General features: G+C 35.4%; 2 long non-coding RNA genes across 6 annotated transcripts in view; one reads left to right on the top strand and one right to left on the bottom strand.

Annotated features, from left to right (window-relative positions):
* Positions 1–21,360, top strand: part of LINC02945 (long intergenic non-protein coding RNA 2945) — a 308,805-nt gene that overhangs the window by 206,164 nt on the left and 81,281 nt on the right. The gene's annotated exons all lie outside the window — the stretch shown is intronic.
* The window catches only part of LOC105377369 (uncharacterized), a 77,408-nt gene that overhangs the window by 17,590 nt on the left and 38,458 nt on the right, over positions 1–21,360 (bottom strand). For both annotated transcript variants that reach the window (XR_939077.3, XR_939076.3), the window contains exon 3: positions 3,940–4,074. This is a non-coding gene — a long non-coding RNA (uncharacterized LOC105377369). The remainder of the gene's footprint in view (positions 1–3,939; positions 4,075–21,360) is intronic.

Genomic DNA, 21,360 nt, shown 5'->3' with positions numbered 1-21,360 from the left:
ACAGTTGAAATTCTTCTCAAATATTTATTAGTCCTTGAGGTTTAAAAACCTGACATATCTGTTTGGAGAAATGCTTCTGAAAGGAATTGACTTTGGTCTGCATGGGTACTAATCTGGAATTATATATTGTTTTTCAGGAGAGTTTTCTTTAATTATCCAATGTTTTCTACTAGATTTACTGCTTTTTGCAGGTTGAGGCTCCTTGACTTTTTCCTACTGGGCCCTTAGTTTCTGTGGCTTTATAATTTGCCGGTGTATTTTAGCTGTGATTTTGGTTTGCTATGCTCCAGTTTCTTCTGAATTCTAATTCTTACCTCTGTTGCATCATTCTCTTTTTTTTTCTGGGTCCATGCATATTTGCTGTATAACTTAGTAGCATTAACAGGTGCAACAATCTTATTTTGAGTCATTACTTTGCGGTGACCAGCTAAGTTTTAGCACCAACTTCTGGCACCTATTTTGAGTACATCGTTGATTAATTTTCTCTCTTTCAGTCACTGGCCAGGGATTCAGGACCGTTTACCCTATTCTGGAGCTTAATCAGATTTTTCCATGAAGATAGCTGTAGTATAGAGATCCTACCCCTTAGAAAGGAAGAGTTTGTGAAGCCTTATGCATTTCAAGGCCTAAGCATTAACCTATACCAAATACTGACTATTCAACATCAACCACCTAAAATAAAACCTCATGACATAAATTTGATAATCATATACAAAAAAGCAGAACATAAATAACAGAGCTTAAATGGTAACATTTACTTTAATTTTAAAAAAGCTCTATATTTTATGAAAAATGGTAGATTCACCACACTTTACCAGAGTATTGAAAAAAGAAAAGTATTTGCAGAGAATTTCCAGGGCACTTTAACTTCATTGTGCTATTTGACCAGGTTAAAAAGTTAGTTATCTGTGGTTTGCCATCTCTTGAAATATTGTATAGCAGACCTTTTGGCCTACAAGTCCCAGAGTCATCCTGGATTAGTTCCTAATTTTAGCAATATCCTGAGGTGACACTTTGACCTGGAGATCCCTAGGGCCTCCAAAAGCTGATTTGAATCCACTCACCATCTGTAACTGGCTTGCATTTAAACAATTTGTCCCATAAAAAGTAAACTTTGTGTTCATAGTATCATCCAGTAGGAAGGGACCCCTAAAATTATAAAGTTTATTATGATGGTTATTATCCAAGCATTTTAGACAGCTCTTTCCCATTCACTAGTATTTCTGAAAATGCAATGTTATCCAATTTCATTAACCTTCTCTTAAAAATGAGATCCATCATTTTTCTCTGCAATTGTTTTTAAACATCAATATTTTCCAATATTAATATATTCAAGTAATATATTAAGCATATACCTAGTTATTATCCTCTTTAGAATTATATAAATCTTCCTGATCACTTTTGATTATTCTGATGTTCAGCACAAATATATTTTCAGTGAGAATATAATCAGCAGAGATTTGTTATCACTAAACCAATTCTGTCCCAATCTAGTGACCCTCAGTTTAAGTAAGAAGAAATGAAGTTAGAGTAAATGACTATTGATTGATATTGGTCTTTAGTTTGTAGAATCCAAAGTAAAGGTAGAGGTTGAAAGAAAAAAATCATTACGTACTAATACCTTTATCCCAAATGGATTTATAAATTAGTGTCTAAATATTTATGGGAAAACAGTAGATAGTAAATGGTTGGGTTGTACGAGTATTATATATCAAGTTATATTCCCTCTCTTTCTATTTCAATTCAGCCTTAAAATCTCTTCACTTAAAAAAGTGATTGCCTAGAGACCTTTGAAGCCAGGGAGGATGATGAGGGGGCAAGAGGTTTATTCCCAGGGTCACACTTCATTTGCATAAGCTAGTAACCATAGGGTATTATGGAATGTCTCTAAATAGATTTCATTACAGAAGTTCAGCTTAAAGGGACTAAAAATAATCCTCAAGCAAACATTTTATATTGCTTCAGGTTCTGCTGTAATAAAAATATTTTAGTAACACAACATTCTATGGAGGCAGGAAATGAAACAGGAGGGTCTTCATATCTTTCTTTTGGTGCACGGTTATGAAATGTTTTAAATAAGACAAACACAATATTCTTACTTTAACAAAACAGTCCTACAAAAACAGGATTATGTCATTCTATATGGCTGTCACTAGGTAGTAAAACAAATACAGATCTTTTTCTCTTCCCTCCTCTCCTCCCTCTTCCTCTCTTTCTCTTCATCTTTTGCTCTCCTCTCTTTCTGTCTTGGCTTTCGTTTCTCTTGAACTCTTACTTTTTCATCCTGCCACTCTTTCAGGTTCACTGCTGCAGGATACATCCAACAATAACATGCCTGGAAATAATGAATATTGCATTCTGTTCTCTAAAGATGTTTTGTCTACAAAATTTGATTCAAAACTCAAATGTCAGGTTTAAACGTTGGCATCTCTAAAAAAGGAATGTATATGAAATACACTGTTTTAATTCTGACACAGGAAAAGGGAATGTTCCATTAATCATAATAAAGCTCGAATTGAAGGAAAAACAGTAGAAGACATCAATAAGCCTAATTTCTCAGATTATTATATATATATAGACACATATACATATATGACCACATTTTCTGGTACTCAAAAAGGTGAGTAACTTATATCAATTGTTCAAATAGAAATATACTGCTATGAATGTTATTTTAATTACATTTATGCCAATGACATAGACTTTCATGGATTTTGTATGTTGGCTTTAAGAAACTGTGAGGGTACATTTCATTTGTGGGTCATGTTCTGTACCCTACCAAGCCTAACATTTTATTTATTTATGCATGCTTCATTCATCCATTCAACATTTACTAAGCACCTACGTAGATGTCGGACACTGTGCAAGGTGCTGAGCAGGGGATAACACTTGGGAGCAAGTCTCAGTATTGGATACCAGGAATGTGAGAGGCTAAGTAGTGTACTAGGCTGATCATTCACTTTGGATTTGGGTCAACCAGGGCTCAAATACTACTTAAGAAACTAGTTAGTTGAGCTGTTTAGGGTAAGACACTTCACATCTCTCAGCCTCAGTGTCCCCATCTGGAAAAGAGGTCAGCATATCTTTCCTGCAGAATGCTTGTGAGGTTTAGGGAAAATAGAGGTAAAATGATAGCTACATTTAGTATGCTGATGCTGGAAACATCATAACTAATTTTATTATTAGAAATAGTACTGATTTATTCCTGCTCTAACTCAATTAATAATTTAATAATTTTAAAAGTGATTTTAATAATTTTAAAATATTCATTTGTCAGTAATATAGGAACACTTTTTAGTGGTTTCAAATTGAATGGTATAGTTTTGTAAGGCAGTTTTATTTGAGTTATTGAGCAATTAAAATAAGGCAGTTTTATTTGAATTGAGTTTACTGAACAAAATAAATTTAATAGATTTAGCCATATTATCAGAATATTAGGATTAGCACATTTGAAAACCTCACGCTCTGGAGGTCTGGAATTGATATTCAAGAAGAACTTCGGTAAAAACATTGACACATTTGTTAGCGTAGAGACTATTAGATCAGTCTCCACACATAAAATGCCATCACATTTCTTTGATTGCACGTGGCCCAAACTTGTATTTCTACTTAAAATATCTCCCATCCTCCACATATGTTTGTTTATAAGAAAGTACAAGTAATGACATAGTCCTATAACAAAGAATGGAGAGAGAAAATACAGAGCACATAGCTGCATCATTTTTCCATGGAAATACATGTCTTTTTTATAGTAATTTAATCAGATAATTTCAGTTTATGTTACTTTGTGTTTCATCATGTTTACTTTTCTAATAACTACAATTATTCTCAGACTTACATTTTTCCCTAGAATAGATGTGCTTAAATTGAAAAAATCCAATTGAATAAGAGCATGTAACGAGAAAATGTAATCCATCGTTATTAAAAAAGGCAGCTTACCTTTATCTGGGTGTTAAATAGTACAAATCCATGAGAGCCAGTGAATGTTTTGAAGTCAAAACGAAGGGCATTACCAAGGCTGAAGTGGATTTGTCACAGAATTATCCGTATTACTTCAGAAATAGGTTATTATATCTAGGCGGGGTAAAGGGAAATAGGAAGGAATAAAATGAGAGAAAGACCATTTTATTTTTATATGTCCTTACCAGGGTGAAACACTTCTGATTTAGGTTTTTACGCCAAATGTATCTAAGATAAATAAATCCAAAGTGGTTAACTGAATAAAGAGCTTTACATCTAATTTATTAAATAGGATATGATTTCCAGAAGGAAGCTTTAGATGAAGATGTCTTTGACTAATGAAACCTCTTATAATAGCATTATAAAGAACACCAGCATAGAGGCCAGATATTATGAGAAATTGTATCTGTTTTGACCGGGAACCCATACACTTAACCCGCAGGAGTCACGATTGGTTTAACGCATGTTTTTAAAGTGTTTGTGAACCATGCGTTTCTTGTTAGAAGATGTGACCACTTACATAGTTTTTAAAAATTTTACAGTGGCAGCAACAAAGTCAACATTACTTTAAGCATGGATTTTTAAATAAAGCATTAAAATGTACTGATTCATATGTAGTTGTAGTGCTCTTGAATTTATTTACAATGAAAATAACAAAAAGCAGTGAGAAACAGCATTTCACTGAATAACAGCACCTTAGTATTATAGTAAGCAGAGCATGGTTTGGGATAAAATTACCTGAATAATTGAAAGAATTCCATCGTAACATGATTTCACCTATATGTTAGACCCATGGATTCTATAAACCCACTTAGAGCGTTGTACCAATGTTTAAATTACATGCTTTACAGAATCCAATTCAAATGTATTTTTATATGTCATCAGAACTGCCATGGAAAGTGGTAACTATACATGCATTGTGGTTTTAGGTAAATTTTCTTTTAAAAAGAGGAATTGTATATGTCTTCATAGGAAGTGATCCAGGGAAAGCTTGATTTGTTTTAGTAATTCTTTTCTTAATACTTTTACACTCTTTATCCTACTCTCATTTCTTCACATTCACAAGAAAGAGGCTTTGTTTACCTTTCTGCTCACTTTTGGGTGATCATGATGTGTCAATGTAGGTTCATCAATTGCGTAACAGTGGTATCACATTGTTGTTTTAACTTGCATTTCCCAAATGACATACAAGGTAGAGCATCTTTTTGTATGCTTATTTGCTATCTGAATATCTTCTTTGGAGAGGCATCAGTTAAGGCCTTTGGCACATTTAAAAAATCAGGCTGTGTGCTTTCTTATTGTTGAGTATTTTTTTTTTTTTTTTTTTTTTTATACTCTAAGTTTTAGGGTACATGTGCACATTGTGCAGGTTAGTTACATATGTATACATGTGCCATGCTGGTGCGCTGCACCCACTAATGTGTCATCTAGCATTAGGTATATCTCCCAATGCTATCCCTCCCCCCTCCGCCGACCCCACCACAGTCCCCAGAGTGTGATATTCCCCTTCCTGTGTCCATGTGATCTCATTGTTCAATTCCCACCTATGAGTGAGAATATGCGGTGTTTGGTTTTTTGTTCTTGCAATAGTTTACTGAGAATGATGGTTTCCAATTTCATCCATGTCCCTACAAAGGATATGAACTCATCATTTTTTATGGCTGCATAGTATTCCATGGTGTATATGTGCCACATTTTCTTAATCCAGTCTATCATTGTTGGACATTTGGGTTGGTTCCAAGTCTTTGCTATTGTGAATAGTGTCGCAATAAACATACGTGTGCATGTGTCTTTATAGCAGCATGATTTATAGTCCTTTGGGTATATACCCAGTAATGGGATGGCTGGGTCAAATGGTATTTCTAGTTCTAGATCCCTGAGGAATCGCCACACTGACTTCCACAATGGTTGAACTAGTTTACAGTCCCACCAACATGGTAAAAGTGTTCCTATTTCTCCACATCCTCTCCAGCACCTGTTGTTTCCTGACTTTTTAATGATTGCCATTCTAACTGGTGTGAGATGATATCTCATAGTGGTTTTGATTTGCATTTCTCTGATGGCCAGTGATGATGAGCATTTTTTCATGTGTTTTTTGGCTGCATAAATGTCTTCTTTTGAGAAGTGTCTGTTCATGTCCTTCGCCCACTTTTTGATGGGGTTGTTTGTTTTTTTCTTGTAAATTTGTTTGAGTTCATTGTAGATTCTGGATATTAGCCCTTTGTCAGATGAGTAGGTTGCGAAAATTTTCTCCCATGTTGTAGGTTGCCTGTTCACTCTGATGGTAGTTTCTTTTGCTGTGCAGAAGCTCTTTAGTTTAATTAGATCCCATTTGTCAATTTTGGCTTTTGTTGCCATTGCTTTTGGTGTTTTGGACATGAAGTCCTTGCCCATGCCTATGTCCTGAATGGTAATGCCTAGGTTTTCTTCTAGGGTTTTTATGGTTTTAGGTCTAACGTTTAAATCTTTAATCCATCTTGAATTGATTTTTGTATAAGGTGTAAGGAAGGGATCCAGTTTCAGCTTTCTACATATGGCTAGCCAGTTTTCCCAGCACCATTTATTCAATAGGGAATCCTTTCCCCATTGCTTGTTTTTCTCAGGTTTGTCAAAGATCAGATAGTTGTAGATATGCGGCATTATTTCTGAGGGCTCTGTTCTGTTCCATTGATCTATATCTCTGTTTTGGTACCAGTACCATGCTGTTTTGGTTACTGTAGCCTTGTAGTATAGTTTGAAGTCAGGTAGTGTGATGCCTCCAGCTTTGTTCTTTTGGCGTAGGATTGACTTGGCGATGCGGGCTCTTTTTTGGTTCCATATGAACTTTAAAGTAGTTTTTTCCAATTCTGTGAAGAAAGTCATTGGTAGCTTGATGGGGATGGCATTGAATCTGTAAATTACCTTGGGCAGTATGGCCATTTTCACGATATTCATTCTTCCTATCCATGAGCATGGAATGTTCTTCCATTTGTTTGTGTCCTCTTTTATTTCCTTGAGCAGTGGTTTGTAGTTCTCCTTGAAGAGGTCCTTCACATCCCTTGTAAGTTGGATTCCTAGGTATTTTATTCTCTTTGAAGCAATTGTGAATGGGAGTTCACCCATGATTTGGCTCTCTGTTTGTCTGTTGTTGGTGTATAAGAATGCTTGTGATTTTTGTACATTGATTTTGTATCCTGAGACTTTGCTGAAGTTGCTTATCAGCTTAAGGAGATTTTGGGCTGAGACGATGGGGTTTTCTAGATAAACAATCATGTCGTCTGCAAACAGGGACAATTTGACTTCCTCTTTTCCTAATTGAATACCCTTTATTTCCTTCTCCTGCCTGATTGCCCTGGCCAGAACTTCCAACACTATGTTGAATAGGAGTGGTGAGAGAGGGCATCCCTGTCTTGTGCCAGTTTTCAAAGGGAATGCTTCCAGTTTTTGCCCATTCAGTATGATATTGGCTGTGGGTTTGTCATAGATAGCTCTTATTATTTTGAAATACGTCCCATCAATACCTAATTTATTGAGAGTTTTTAGCATGAAGGGTTGTTGAATTTTGTCAAAGGCTTTTTCTGCATCTATTGAGATAATCAAGTGGTTTTTGTCTTTGGCTCTGTTTATATGCTGGATTACATTTATTGATTTGCGTATATTGAACCAGCCTTGCATCCCAGGGATGAAGCCCACTTGATCATGGTGGATAAGCTTTTTGATGTGCTGCTGAATTCGGTTTGCCAGTATTTTATTGAGGATTTTTGCATCAATGTTCATCAAGGATATTGGTCTAAAATTCTCTTTTTTGGTTGTGTCTCTGCCCGGCTTTGGTATCAGAATGATGCTGGCCTCATAAAATGAGTTAGGGAGGATTCCCTCTTTTTCTATTGATTGGAATAGTTTCAGAAGGAATGGTACCAGTTCCTCCTTGTACCTCTGGTAGAATTCGGCTGTGAATCCATCTGGTCCTGGACTCTTTTTGGTTGGTAAACTATTGATTATTGCCACAATTTCAGATCCTGTTATTGGTCTATTCAGAGATTCAACTTCTTCCTGGTTTAGTCTTGGGAAAGTGTATGTGTCGAGGAATGTATCCATTTCTTCTAGATTTTCTAGTTTATTTGTGTAGAGGTGTTTGTAGTATTCTCTGATGGTAGTTTGTATTTCTGTGGGATCGGTGGTGATATCCCCTTTATCATTTTTTATTGTGTCTATTTGATTCTTCTCTCTTTTTTTCTTTATTAGTCTTGCTAGCGGTCTATCAATTTTGTTGATCCTTTCAAAAAACCAGCTCCTGGATTCATTGATTTTTTGAAGGGTTTTTTGTGTCTCTATTTCCTTCAGTTCTGCTCTGATTTTAGTTATTTCTTGCCTTCTGCTAGCTTTTGAATGTGTTTGCTCTTGCTTTTCTAGTTCTTTTAATTGTGATGTTAGGGTGTCAATTTTGGATCTTTCCTGCTTTCTCTTGTGGGCATTTAGTGCTATAAATTTCCCTCTACACACTGCTTTGAATGCGTCCCAGAGATTCTGGTATGTGGTGTCTTTGTTCTCGTTGGTTTCAAAGAACATCTTTATTTCTGCCTTCATTTCGTTATGTACCCAGTAGTCATTCAGGAGCAGGTTGTTCAGTTTCCATGTAGTTGAGCGGCTTTGAGTGAGATTCTTAATCCTGAGTTCTAGTTTGATTGCACTGTGGTCTGAGAGATAGTTTGTTATAATTTCTGTTCTTTTACATTTGCTGAGGAGAGCTTTACTTCCAACTATGTGGTCAATTTTGGAATAGGTGTGGTGTGGTGCTGAAAAAAATGTATATTCTGTTGATTTGGGGTGGAGAGTTCTGTAGATGTCTATTAGGTCTGCTTGGTGCAGAGCTGAGTTCAATTCCTGGGTATCCTTGTTGACGTTCTGTCTCGTTGATCTGTCTAATGTTGACAGTGGGGTGTTAAAGTCTCCCATTATTAATGTGTGGGAGTCTAAGTCTCTTTGTAGGTCACTCAGGACTTGCTTTATGAATCTGGGTGCTCCTGTATTGGGTGCATAAATATTTAGGATAGTTAGCTCCTCTTGTTGAATTGATCCCTTTACCATTATGTAATGGCCTTCTTTGTCTCTTTTGATCTTTGTTGGTTTAAAGTCTGTTTTATCAGAGACTAGGATTGCAACCCCTGCCTTTTTTTGTTTTCCATTTGCTTGGTAGATCTTCCTCCATCCTTTTATTTTGAGCCTATGTGTGTCTCTGCACGTGAGATGGGTTTCCTGAATACAGCACACTGATGGGTCTTGACTCTTTATCCAACTTGCCAGTCTGTGTCTTTTAATTGCAGAATTTAGTCCATTTATATTTAAAGTTAATATTGTTATGTGTGAATTTGATCCTGTCATTATGATGTTAGCTGGTGATTTTGCTCATTAGTTGATGCAGTTTCTTCCTAGTCTCGATGGTCTTTACATTTTGGCATGATTTTGCAGCGGCTGGTACCGGTTGTTCCTTTCCATGTTTAGCGCTTCCTTCAGGAGCTCTTTTAGGGCAGGCCTGGTGGTGACAAAATCTCTCAGCATTTGCTTGTCTATAAAGTATTTTATTTCTCCTTCACTTATGAAGCTTAGTTTGGCTGGATATGAAATTCTGGGTTGAAAATTCTTTTCTTTAAGAATGTTGAATATTGGCCCCCACTCTCTTCTGGCTTGTAGGGTTTCTGCCGAGAGATCCGCTGTTAGTCTGATGGGCTTTCCTTTGAGGGTAACCCGACCTTTCTCTCTGGCTGCCCTTAACATTTTTTCCTTCATTTCAACTTTGGTGAATCTGACAATTATGTGTCTTGGAGTTGCTCTTCTCGAGGAGTATCTTTGTGGCGTTCTCTGTATTTCCTGAATCTGAACGTTGGCCTGCCTTGCTAGATTGGGGAAGTTCTCCTGGATAATATCCTGCAGAGTGTTTTCCAACTTGGTTCCATTCTCCACATCACTTTCAGGTACACCAATTAGACGTAGATTTGGTCTTTTCACATAGTCCCATATTTCTTGGAGGCTTTGCTCATTTCTTTTTATTCTTTTTTCTCTAAACTTCCCTTCTAGCTTCATTTCATTCATTTCATCTTCCATTGCTGATACCCTTTCTTCCAGTTGATCGCATCGGCTCCTGAGGCTTCTGCATTCTTCACGTAGTTCTCGAGCCTTGGTTTTCAGCTCCATCAGCTCCTTTAAGCACTTCTCTGTATTGGTTATTCTAGTTATACATTCTTCTAAATTTTTTTCAAAGTTTTCAACTTCTTTGCCTTTGGTTTGAATGTCCTCCCGTAGCTCAGAGTAATTTGATTGTCTGAAGCCTTCTTCTCTCAGCTCGTCAAAATCATTCTCCATCCAGCTTTGTTCTGTTGCTGGTGAGGAACTGCGTTCCTTTGGAGGAGGAGAGGCGCTCTGCATTTTAGAGTTTCCAGTTTTTCTGTTCTGTTTTTTCCCCATCTTTGTGGTTTTATCTACTTTTGGTCTTTGATGATGGTGATGTACAGATGGGTTTTCGGTGTAGATGTCCTTTCTGGTTGTTAGTTTTCCTTCTAATAGACAGGACCCTCAGCTGCAGGTCTGTTGGAATACCCTGCCGTGTGAGGTGTCAGTGTGCCCCTGCTGGGGGATGCCTCCCAGTTAGGCTGCTCGGGGGTCAGGGGTCAGGGACCCACTTGAGGAGGCAGTCTGCCCGCTCTCAGATCTCCAGCTGCGTGCTGGGAGAACCACTGCTCTCTTCAAAGCTGTCAGACAGGGACACTTAAGTCTGCAGAGGTTACTGCTGTCTTTTTGTTTGTCTGTGCCCTGCCCCCAGAGGTGGAGCCTACAGAGGCAGGCAGGCCTCCTTGAGCTGTGGTGGGCTCCACCCAGTTCGAGCTTCCCAGCTGCTTTGTTTACCTAAGCAAGCCTGGGCAATGGCGGGCGCCCCTCCCCCAGCCTCGTTGCCGCCTTGCAGTTTGATCTCAGACTGCTGTGCTAGCAATCAGCGAGATTCCGTGGGCGTAGGACCCTCTGAGCCAGGTGTGGGATATACTCTCGTGGTGCGCCGTTTCTTAAGCCGGTCTGAAAAGCGCAATATTCGGGTGGGAGTGACCCGATTTTCCAGGTGAATCCGTCACCCCTTTCTTTGACTCGGAAAGGGAACTCCCTGACCCCTTGCGCTTCCCAGGTGAGGCAATGCCTCGCCCTGCTTCGGCTCGTGCACGGTGTGCGCACCCACTGACCTGCGGCCACTGTCTGGCACTCCCTAGTGAGATGAACCCGGTACCTCAGATGGAAATGCAGAAATCACCTGTCTTCTGCGTCGCTCACGCTGGGAGCTGTAGACCGGAGCTGTTCCTATTCGGCCATCTTGGCTCCTCCCTTATTGTTGAGTTTTAAGAGTTCTTTATATATTTTGGATAACAGTCCTTTAGCAGATGTGTCTTTTGAAAATATTTTCTCCCAGTCTTTGGTTTGTCTTATCTTCTTGACATTGTCTTTCACAGAGCAGAAGTTTTTTTTTTTTTTTATGAAGTTCAGCTTATCAATTATTTTTTTCATGGATCATACCCTTGGCATTATATCTAAAATGTCATCATCATACCCAAGGTCATTTGATTTTCACCCACTTCATTTTCTAGGAGTTTTATATTCTTGTATTTTACATTTAGCTCTATTAATCATTTTAAGTTTATTTTTGTGAAGGGAATAATACCTGTGTCTAGATTCAGTGTTTTTGCATGTAAGTATCCAGCACCGTTTGTTGAAAAGACTATTTTGCTTTATTGTACTGCCTTTGCTGCTTTTCCAAAGATCAGTTGACTGTATTTATGTGATTCTGTATCTGAGTTCTCTATTATGTTCCACTGATCTATTTGTCTATTCTTTTACCAACACCACAGTGTCTGGACTACTGTAGGTATGTTATAGTAAGTCCTGAAGTCTGGTAATATCAGTCATACAACTTTGTTCTTCTTCAGTATTATGTTGACTACTCTGGGTGCCTCTCCATATAAACTTTAGAATCAGTTGGTTGATATCTGCAAAATAATGTATTGGGATTTTGATTGGGATTTCATTGAATCTACATATCAAAATTTTCATTTCTTATTGTATATAATAAAAATAAATAATTGTTTTCTATTATTGGTTCCTGGTATGGAGTTCTAAAACCCTTGGAATTTATTATCTTTTGTATGCTAGTGAGATGACCGATGGTGAGGATGAGGGCTGGTCACAAGAAAAACTAACCACATGATTATAGTTAGAACTTTCAGCTTTGTCTCCCTAACTCCAGGGAGGTGAGAGTGGCTGGAGATTGAGTTCAGTCCTCAATGGCTTGTGATTTCATTTATCATGCCTAAATAATAAAACCTCCATAGAAATCTTTGCATGGTGGAGTTTGGGGGGCTTCTGAATTGGTCACCATATCCACATGCCAGAAAGGTGGCACACTCAATTCCATGGGGCAGAGGCTGTTGTGCTGGGGACCGTTCTGGACCTCTGGATGACAAACTGGCATATAGTGAATGCCAACTTGGTGATTTATACTTGTAAGGATTATTTGAGTTTCAAGTAATTGGAAGCTGAATTCCAACTAACAAAAACAAGATTTACTGACTTATGTAATTGGAAAGATCACGGATAGTACTAGCTTCAAGCAGCACTGGGTCCAGAGACTCAAGTAATGTCATGATTCCCAGTATTTCTACATCTCTACATTTTATTATTTCTTTCTATTGGCTGCATTTTCAGGCATACTGTTTTCTCATTACAGCAGATCTGAAAATACAACATCTGAAATTCAGAACACAGTGAATGAGTTTAACAGCATGTGGGGCACAGCAGAAGATAGGATTGATGAACGTTAATACAGGTCAACACACAGTATTAAAATTAAAACACACCAAAAACACAGGAAATATAAAACATAGCCTAAAAGATGTGGCACATAGTAAAGAAATCTAATATATGTTTAATGTGAGTAACCAAAACAGGAGAGAGAAAATTGGGAAGAACCATATTTGATAATGGCTTGGTGTGTCCCCAAACTGATGAAAGCACAAACACACAGATTCAAAAATCTCAGCAAACCCCAAAAAGGATACAAAAACCAAAAAACCAATACACACACACACACAGAGACACGTACACACACACACACACATGTACACACACATACACACACACACACAAGCACATCATAGTCAAACTGCTGAAAATCCAGAACAGAGAGAAACATTTTTTTAAGTTGGAGAAAAATTATTAACTTTAAATAAATAATTTTAAGACTTGCATCTGTCTTCTTAACAAATAATATAAGCCAGAAGGCAATATTGAAAGGGTTAAAAGAAAATAACTACCAACCTAGAATACTATGACCAGGTAAATATCCTACAAAAATGAAGTGGGATATAAAGATATTTTAAGCAAATAAAAACTGAATTTTTCATAAGCATGTCTGTATTGAAGTAAATACTCGAGAAAATTCTTAATGAACAGGGAAATGATTCTACATAAGATAATGAAAATATAAAAAGAAATGTAGGCTACTAGAAAAAGTAACTCTGTAGGTTAATACTGGTGATAAAATAATGTCTTATGGAGTATAAAGCACTTGTAAAATATTTGTAGAATTAAAATACAAAATTAATGTAAAAGGCAGAAAAAAGGTAAAGTTAAGGCACTTCAAGATTTTAGCATTTTTTTAGGAAAGTAGTAATAATTTACATGAGAATATAATAGATGCATGTTGTAACATATAGATTAATGGCTAAAAGAAGGCATATTTAACAATTTAACCAGTCAGGAAATGGAACAATAATTTTAAAAAATGTTTGATTAGACAAGGATGGTAAGGAAGGATAAAAAACAAATGCACTTAAATTAATGCAATTGGAATAAATATGCAAAGAAAAAGACTAAAGTTGTAGATGATGGGGAAAACAAATTATGTAATGCTTACAAGATACATAGCTCAAATGTAAGATAATGATTGAAAGTAAAAGGATTAAAAAAGACATGTCATGTATATACTAGCCCAAAATAAATAATGTCAGAGAAATTCTACTTTAATTTTAAAAGTCAAGTTTGTGTCATTATTGGTGATAAATAGGGACTTTAAGTGATAGCCAAACCACTAGGACAATGTCACAATCTTAAAAATATTTATGTATATAACATGATTTTATTACATTAAAAAATATAAAGGAAAAATTAACTGGAAGAAAAGGAAAAATATACAAATCCATAATCAGAGTTGGTGACTTAAATAGACCTATCCTAAGAGCTGAGAGAACAAGCAGATGAAAATCTTAGTGGGAGTATAGAAGATCTCAATAGTACAATTATCAAATTTGACCTAACTGACTTATATAGAACAATATGCCCAACAATGACAGAATTCACATTCCTTTCAAATGCACATGGAATGCTGATCAGACTTACTATAATTGGACCATAAAAAATCTCAATACATTTGCAAGGATTGAAATAATTCAGAATATGCTTTCCTAAAGGTAATAAAATAATAACCAAAATGTATCAAAAATTCCAAAATTGTCTTTAAGTTAAACAGAATACTTATGAAAGCCTGTGGGATAAGGAAGAAATAATAATAAACTTTTAAAAATTATTTCAAATTAAATGATAATAAAATGTGATATAGCAAAACCCATGGAATGCAGCTACAGCTGTATTGCAGTGGAAATTTGTAGCATTAAATGCATACAATAGAAGAGAAGAAGGGCTTAAATCACTGTTCTAATGCTTTCATCTTCATAAGTTAGAAACACCTACAACAAATCATACTAAACAGAAATATTGAAAGGAAATTATAAAGATAAGAACCAAAATAAAGGAGAAAATAAATGTAAAGAAAGTTTTGACAGTCAAAATTTGATTATTTGAAAAAGTCAATATGATTGAAAACCTTTTTTAAGGGTGATAAAGCAAAAGAGAACACAAATTATCAATATTAATAATGAAAAAGGCAACAATGTTGCAGATACTAAAGACATCCAAATGGGAATAAAGGATATTACAAATAAATTTATACTAATAACTTTGACAGCTTGGAGGAAATGGATAAAGTTTTCTAAAAACACCACCAAAATTGACAGAAGAAAAAAATATAAAATGCTCCAAAGCTTAAAGAATCAATTACTTTTAGTATAACATGCCAGGTTACTCTATTTATTATTAACTAATATTTTCTTATCTCATAGTATTTTGCCATTTCTCAAGGTTCCCCCCTCCCCCCCTTTTTTTTCTGTTTTAGATCTCTTCCCAACTACAAATATTTTCTGAATATTTATGGCCTCAATAATCTTTGCAAAGCACCATTTTCATGCAAGTCAACTCATGGTCCCTAAACAATTCTTGAACTTCTAATTAAGCCTTAAATATTTGCTTAAACTATTTCCCTTTTCTACTTCTCAATGTATGGTCCTAGGATCAGCAGCACGAGTCTCACCTAGAAATCTGCTAACGCAACTTCTCAAGTCCCATCCAAACTTACTGAATCAGAGATATCTTTATCTTTATCTTTATTTATTTTTATTTTATTTTATTTTATTTTATTTTATTTTATTTTATTTTATTTTATTTTATTTTATTTTAGAGACGGCTCTTACTCTGTCATCTGGACTGGAGTGCAGTGGTGTCATCATAGCTCACTGTGGCCTCAAACTCCTAGGCTCAAGCAATCCTCCTGCCTCAGCCTTTGGAGTTGTTGGGACTATAGTTGCACGATACCATGTCTGGCTAATTAAAAAAAAAAAAATTGTAGAGACAGGGTCTCTCCCCTTGTTGCCCAGACTGGTCTTGAACGCCTGGCTTCAAGTGATTCTTCCACCTCGGCTTCCTAAAGTGCTGGGATTACAGGCCTGAGCCACCATGTCCAGCCCTGAGTGAGATATCTTTAATAAGATCTTCAAAAGATTCCTGGTGATCCTGATATATGCTATAATTTGAGAAACATTGCCCTATACATAGAAAAAAAAAACTACCTTTTATCTAGACTTCCCTAAATGATATTGCTAGGCATTCCTGCTACTCCCTGGATTTACTAATTACATTTTTATATGTTTATCTTACCTTCCTAACCAGATTGTATGTCATCCAAGGTAAGGAAACATTTACTCTAGCATAGTACTTTACATATGGCATGTCCTGAATTAATGACATTGACCAGAATACTCAGGTGTATTCTTTCTTTTTGTTGCTGCTGTAACATATTACCAAACCTTAGCAACTTCAAACAACAGAAATATATTAATCTGTCAGTTTTTGTAGGTTATAATTCCTTGTGGACTTGGCTGGACCCTCTGCTTAGGGTCTCACGAGACTAAAATCCAGGTTCCAGCTGGGCTGCATTCCTTACTGGAGGCTCTGGGGGGAAGAATCTGCTTCCAAGCTATTCAGTTTCTTGGCCAAATTTAGTTCCTTATGGTTGTAGGACTGAGGTCCTTGTTCCTCGTTGATTGTCAGCTGGGGCTAGTCTTTGCTTCTAGATGCTGGTTGAATTCTCTCTCATGCTTTCCATAGGTCACCTCTAATCATGGTGAACCAATTCCCTATCATGTTTCAAATCTCTCTGATTTCTCCTTCCGCAACATCTCTGACTATGGCCAGAGTCATGGCTCATGTGATTACACTGGGCCTACCAGGATAATCCATGATAATTACCACATTTTAAGGATTGTAATTTTAATTACATTCTCACAATCCTTTTTGCCATGCAAATTAGCATATTCACAGGTTCCAAGAATTAGGGTGTGGACATATTTAGGGGAGAGATTCTGCCTACCACATCAAGCAACTGATTTAATGGCTATATGAAAAAGAATAAACTGAAATGATAAATTCTGTATTGCATTTGTAATCCAGGTACAGTCAAAAACAAAGAAACAAAATTACAGCACTTTGAATTTTACTAACAGCCAGAAGTATTTACCTATATAAGTAGAAATGTATGATATATTTTTAAAAAACAAACTTGACAGTCTTTAACATTTTTTAATAGTGAAAAAGAAACCTTGGATCATATTCTAATACCTAATAAGATAAGCATAGACTATATCTATGTATTTCAGTTTATTCTGCCCAGTGCAGCTTCAAACACTGTTGGCAGTTTCTGGATGATAAAGCTTCTCCCTTGGAGACCCCCCCTGTGAGGGCCCTCCTCACTGGATTTGTTGAGCAATTATTATTTTATGTCTTAAGTCAGGCCATCACAAGCCAAATTTGGTGAAAATCTGTCTAGCCATTTTCAAGTGATGGTGTAACAGGTAGTTGATAGAAACTTATTTATATAGATTAGGACATAAATGCTTTGTATGCCAATTATGATGCAACAGTCATGCTTTGAAAAGCTTTAAAATCTCTTGAAACAAACATAAGGTATTATTATCATCAATAATCACAATTATCTTTTATGATTTTCATTGCAAGCACTGTCATTTTATTTATGTCTATAAGAAGGGATAAGACTATCAGATATCTGATAGGGCTTAATTATTTATTATGAGACTTTATAGCATATTTAATAAAATTAATGAGATTCTGATTACTTGAGCTTGCTGCTCTCTTTGGCTGGAAAATCTCTTCAATAAGAAGTAAAGCAAGATTGCCAGTTTTCTTATGAGAATTACAGGGTTTGAGGATTAGTCAACTGAGAATTGGTGAGGTCCTTCTCTAATTAATGTCTTCCCACTGATGTTTGCCCTAATCTCCCCTTTTATTACATTTATTACAATGTTTCAGTGGGATCTATTAAATAAGGCAGGGAAGATCTATTAAATAAGGTTACTGTTCGGTTAGTGAAGTAGCAATAAAGGTCCTATTTCTGTATTTGTTACTTTGTTAATTCCTTTTAATTTAAAGCGTCACCTTGAGGGAGGCATATATTTAAGATAGAAAGAACAATAGAACTGGAAACTAGAAGATCCACTTCCAGTCTTGGCTTTGGAATCTTAGGCAGATCATTGAATCTCTTTAGTCCTCAATTTCCTAAATCATAAAAATATGGGGTTTGAGCAAGATAATTTCTAAAATCACCTTAGCCCTAAAATTAACAATTTGCTGATTTAAAGGAAAAATCTTGCAAAAATTAATTAGCAGAAACATTTTCATAACTTTATCTACCTCCCACTTGGATTTTTGCAATTGTCTCCTAACTAGTGTTTTCTGCTTTGATTGTTTTGGTGCAGTAACTGCTGCAGTCTATTAGAAGATTTAGATTCACAAAATGCTATTCATTACCTGTTCAAAAGCCTTCCACATTTAGCTTAGATTTCAAGGATTTCTGAATTTTGATCTTATCTGAATTTTTAGCTTTCTGTTCTATTATTATTATTTTTATTGTGGAATCCTTCTCCCCAATCCCACATTTCAGTTAATTTGCTTGCTATAATTGAATATGTTTGTATTTTATCTTTGTGTTATTCTATCTGCCTGATAGCCTTCCTTCCTCAACTCCACTCCCTTGCTCCTCAACATGGAAATACACACTTTTAACCCCATCTACTGAAATTCGAACTCATTCTTCAAGATCAACTCAAAAGCTATTTTGTTTCCACTGCCTTCTATAATTACTCCAACTGGAAGCAATCACTGTCTCTCTAAAATCCTACAGGACTTAATGATATATACAACTCAATAATAAACAGTTAACAAATGATGGTTTAATGTGCATGTTTTCTAGGTACTGCCTTTGGTACTGGGAATAAATCAAGAAGAAAAATAGACATAACCTCTGTCTAATAAGCCTTACAGTCTCATGGATAAGACAGATGCTAATAAAATTATACCTATTAGAATAAATATATGAAAGAGAAAATCCTACTTCTTTTTTTTCTTTCCTTTTTTTAACTATTTGAATCTCAGACCCTACACTAAATTGTAAACCTGAAAAAAAGGTTTTATATATCTTTATGGTATTAAATTATTTCTAAATAAATATTTTTAGAAGAAATACTTGAGTCTTCAGATTTGGAGTTATAAATTTAAAATTGTTTCTAAGACTGTCCTAGACCAACTAATAACTTGGCATTTTCTTCTACTTCCTGTTGTTTTCAAAGTTGAGTGGGAAAGATGTTAGATGGGATTAAATATATTAATAAAAATCTCTCATTTTTATTTTGGATCTTAGCGATTTGGTGGGTCTTATTTTAGGGAAGTCACCTTACCATGATTTCTTTTGGCCACCCATATTTGAGGTTTTGCATTAAAACATTAAATGCTTTTACTGTTATATTTTGAGTAAGATGTTCTTCTTTATTTAATAAAGAGGTCATAACTTTTCCAATGTGTATTTACTGAATACCATTCATATACAGAAGACTGTGGAACTTGTTATGGATGCTACAAAGTAGTATGAGTTTGTTCAATAAGCATTTGTTGAATGTGTACTGGAATCTTACAGTGTAGCGGGCTTTGAGCATGAATGAGACACAATTTATGCTATTTGGAAGATGCAATCTTGTGGAGGAGGCAAAACAACATTATATCAATATTGTCATGTTGATAATATGAAAATTTTGGATCCAAACATAGATCTTTATCCAGAGGAAGTAAGTTTATATAAATTCCAACAACAATGCTCTTAAGAAGATAAAACAAGGCCACACAATGTGAGGGTAATGAACATTTTAAGGAATGCTGTGGTCAGGGAAGTTTGATTCATTCCATTGTCCAGCCTCTTGTTTCTAAGATAATAATAATGATAATCTACATTATTATTGTAGACGAGGTGGAAACACTTTAATGAAATAATTTAAGCAATCATAAATATTTTCAATTTAATTTTTTGGCAAAATCCGTTATCAGTCTAATCACGAGCCTTAAAATCTGGTCTTGTAGCTTGACAACTGGTTTTCTATTACTGGAAAGGCAATTCATGATCGTAGTTGAGCTTTCAGCTCTAGATTCAGACAGGTCTGTGCTAGTATCAAGATCAAGGCTTCATTGCTTACCAAGAGTATGACACTAAAAAAATAACTATCTATCTAAATCTCACTGTTCTTATCTATAAAATGAAGGTAATAATAGATCTATCTCACAGTAAATGCTAAAGAAATGTAGCTATTCTTTATCTTATTTCAAACCAAAGTTTAATTTGAAAATGGAAAATCTTTATTATATTTGTAAAATACTTTCAATTCAATGCAGAAATAAGGACACCCTGATTCTGGTAGAGATAGTTAAAATGGGGCTATGAGTAGAGGATACTATTTGGACCAAAGAAACAAAACTAAAGGGACTTGTCTGAAGTTTACTGAGTTCACACATACATGTTCACAATACATGCCAAATTGCTTTTTATTGCTCAAGGGAGCATGGATTTTAAAAATGTGTGTTCCTTCATGGTAGTGTTTTGTTCATTTGCTTAATTTTGTTTACAGAATAATCAAGTGATGCTTTTGGAAAAGGTCTATAGAGCTCTATTAAATGACAACAAAATCATAAAGCTTTACAGTTCCAGAAGTTAGAGATAGTTCCAAAATTGTGAAGATAAAAAGATGCTCTTAAATTTAATATTTCAGAGAAATAGACTTAGGAAGCCCATTGGACAAGAGGTAAAAAAAAAATAGAGGTAGACACAAGAAAAATGGGAGAAAGAAGACAAGTAGCCCTTCATCCAATAAATTTTATTATTTTCCCATTGTAATATGCATTTAGGGAAACAACTTACAATCAAGTGGAAGTAATATACTCTTTTCATCATTAATACCTTGGAGAACATTAAAATTATACATTTTGCTGCTAATAGGTTAATGAAATCTGAAAATTAAACTTATATAAATCTCATTGTTGAGGTAAAGTTACACAAATTATAGAAATAAAATAAATGTTCAATAAGTACTATTTTGGTAATGTTTATTTTATTTTATTTAGTTTGTCTTTTTCTGCTTTATGATGGTATAAGATAGTGGTATTAAAATGAATGTATAAAGAAAATAAAAATAAATATTCTATCATTACTTCATAACTGGCAGCAACTTTAATTCACCTCCTGGACATGTAACCCATAATGTTCAAAATATCATCTCGTAACTCTAGGTTTTATTGTATTCTCCTAAGTGTATGATGACAAAGACTGTGGGCAAATTTCAGATGGAAACAAATGCCAAACAGAGAGAGACACAGATGGGATTGGTGGGGAGAGAGAAAAAGAGAGAGAGTGAGTGAGTGAGAAAGAGAAGAGAGAAGGAAGAAGGGAAGGAAGGAGAGAGAGAATAAAGAAAAAATGAAATTAAAGCTCTAATAATTCAATCAGAGGCAATATCAGATCTACAGTAGCATTTCTGCTATCTCGAAAAAGCCTCTGCTTCCTAGCTAGTTCAGAAGGGATATCTTAAGTCCAGCTTCTTATTTGGGAGTACACTTTTTTTTAATGTATAAACTCAGGTAAATCTCAAGGTAACCTAGAAATAC

The sequence above is a fragment of the Homo sapiens genome, chromosome 4 (assembly GCF_000001405.40).
Source record: "Homo sapiens chromosome 4, GRCh38.p14 Primary Assembly".
Classification (NCBI taxonomy): Eukaryota; Metazoa; Chordata; class Mammalia; order Primates; family Hominidae; genus Homo; species Homo sapiens.
This window is presented reverse-complemented; position numbering and strand designations above follow the sequence as displayed.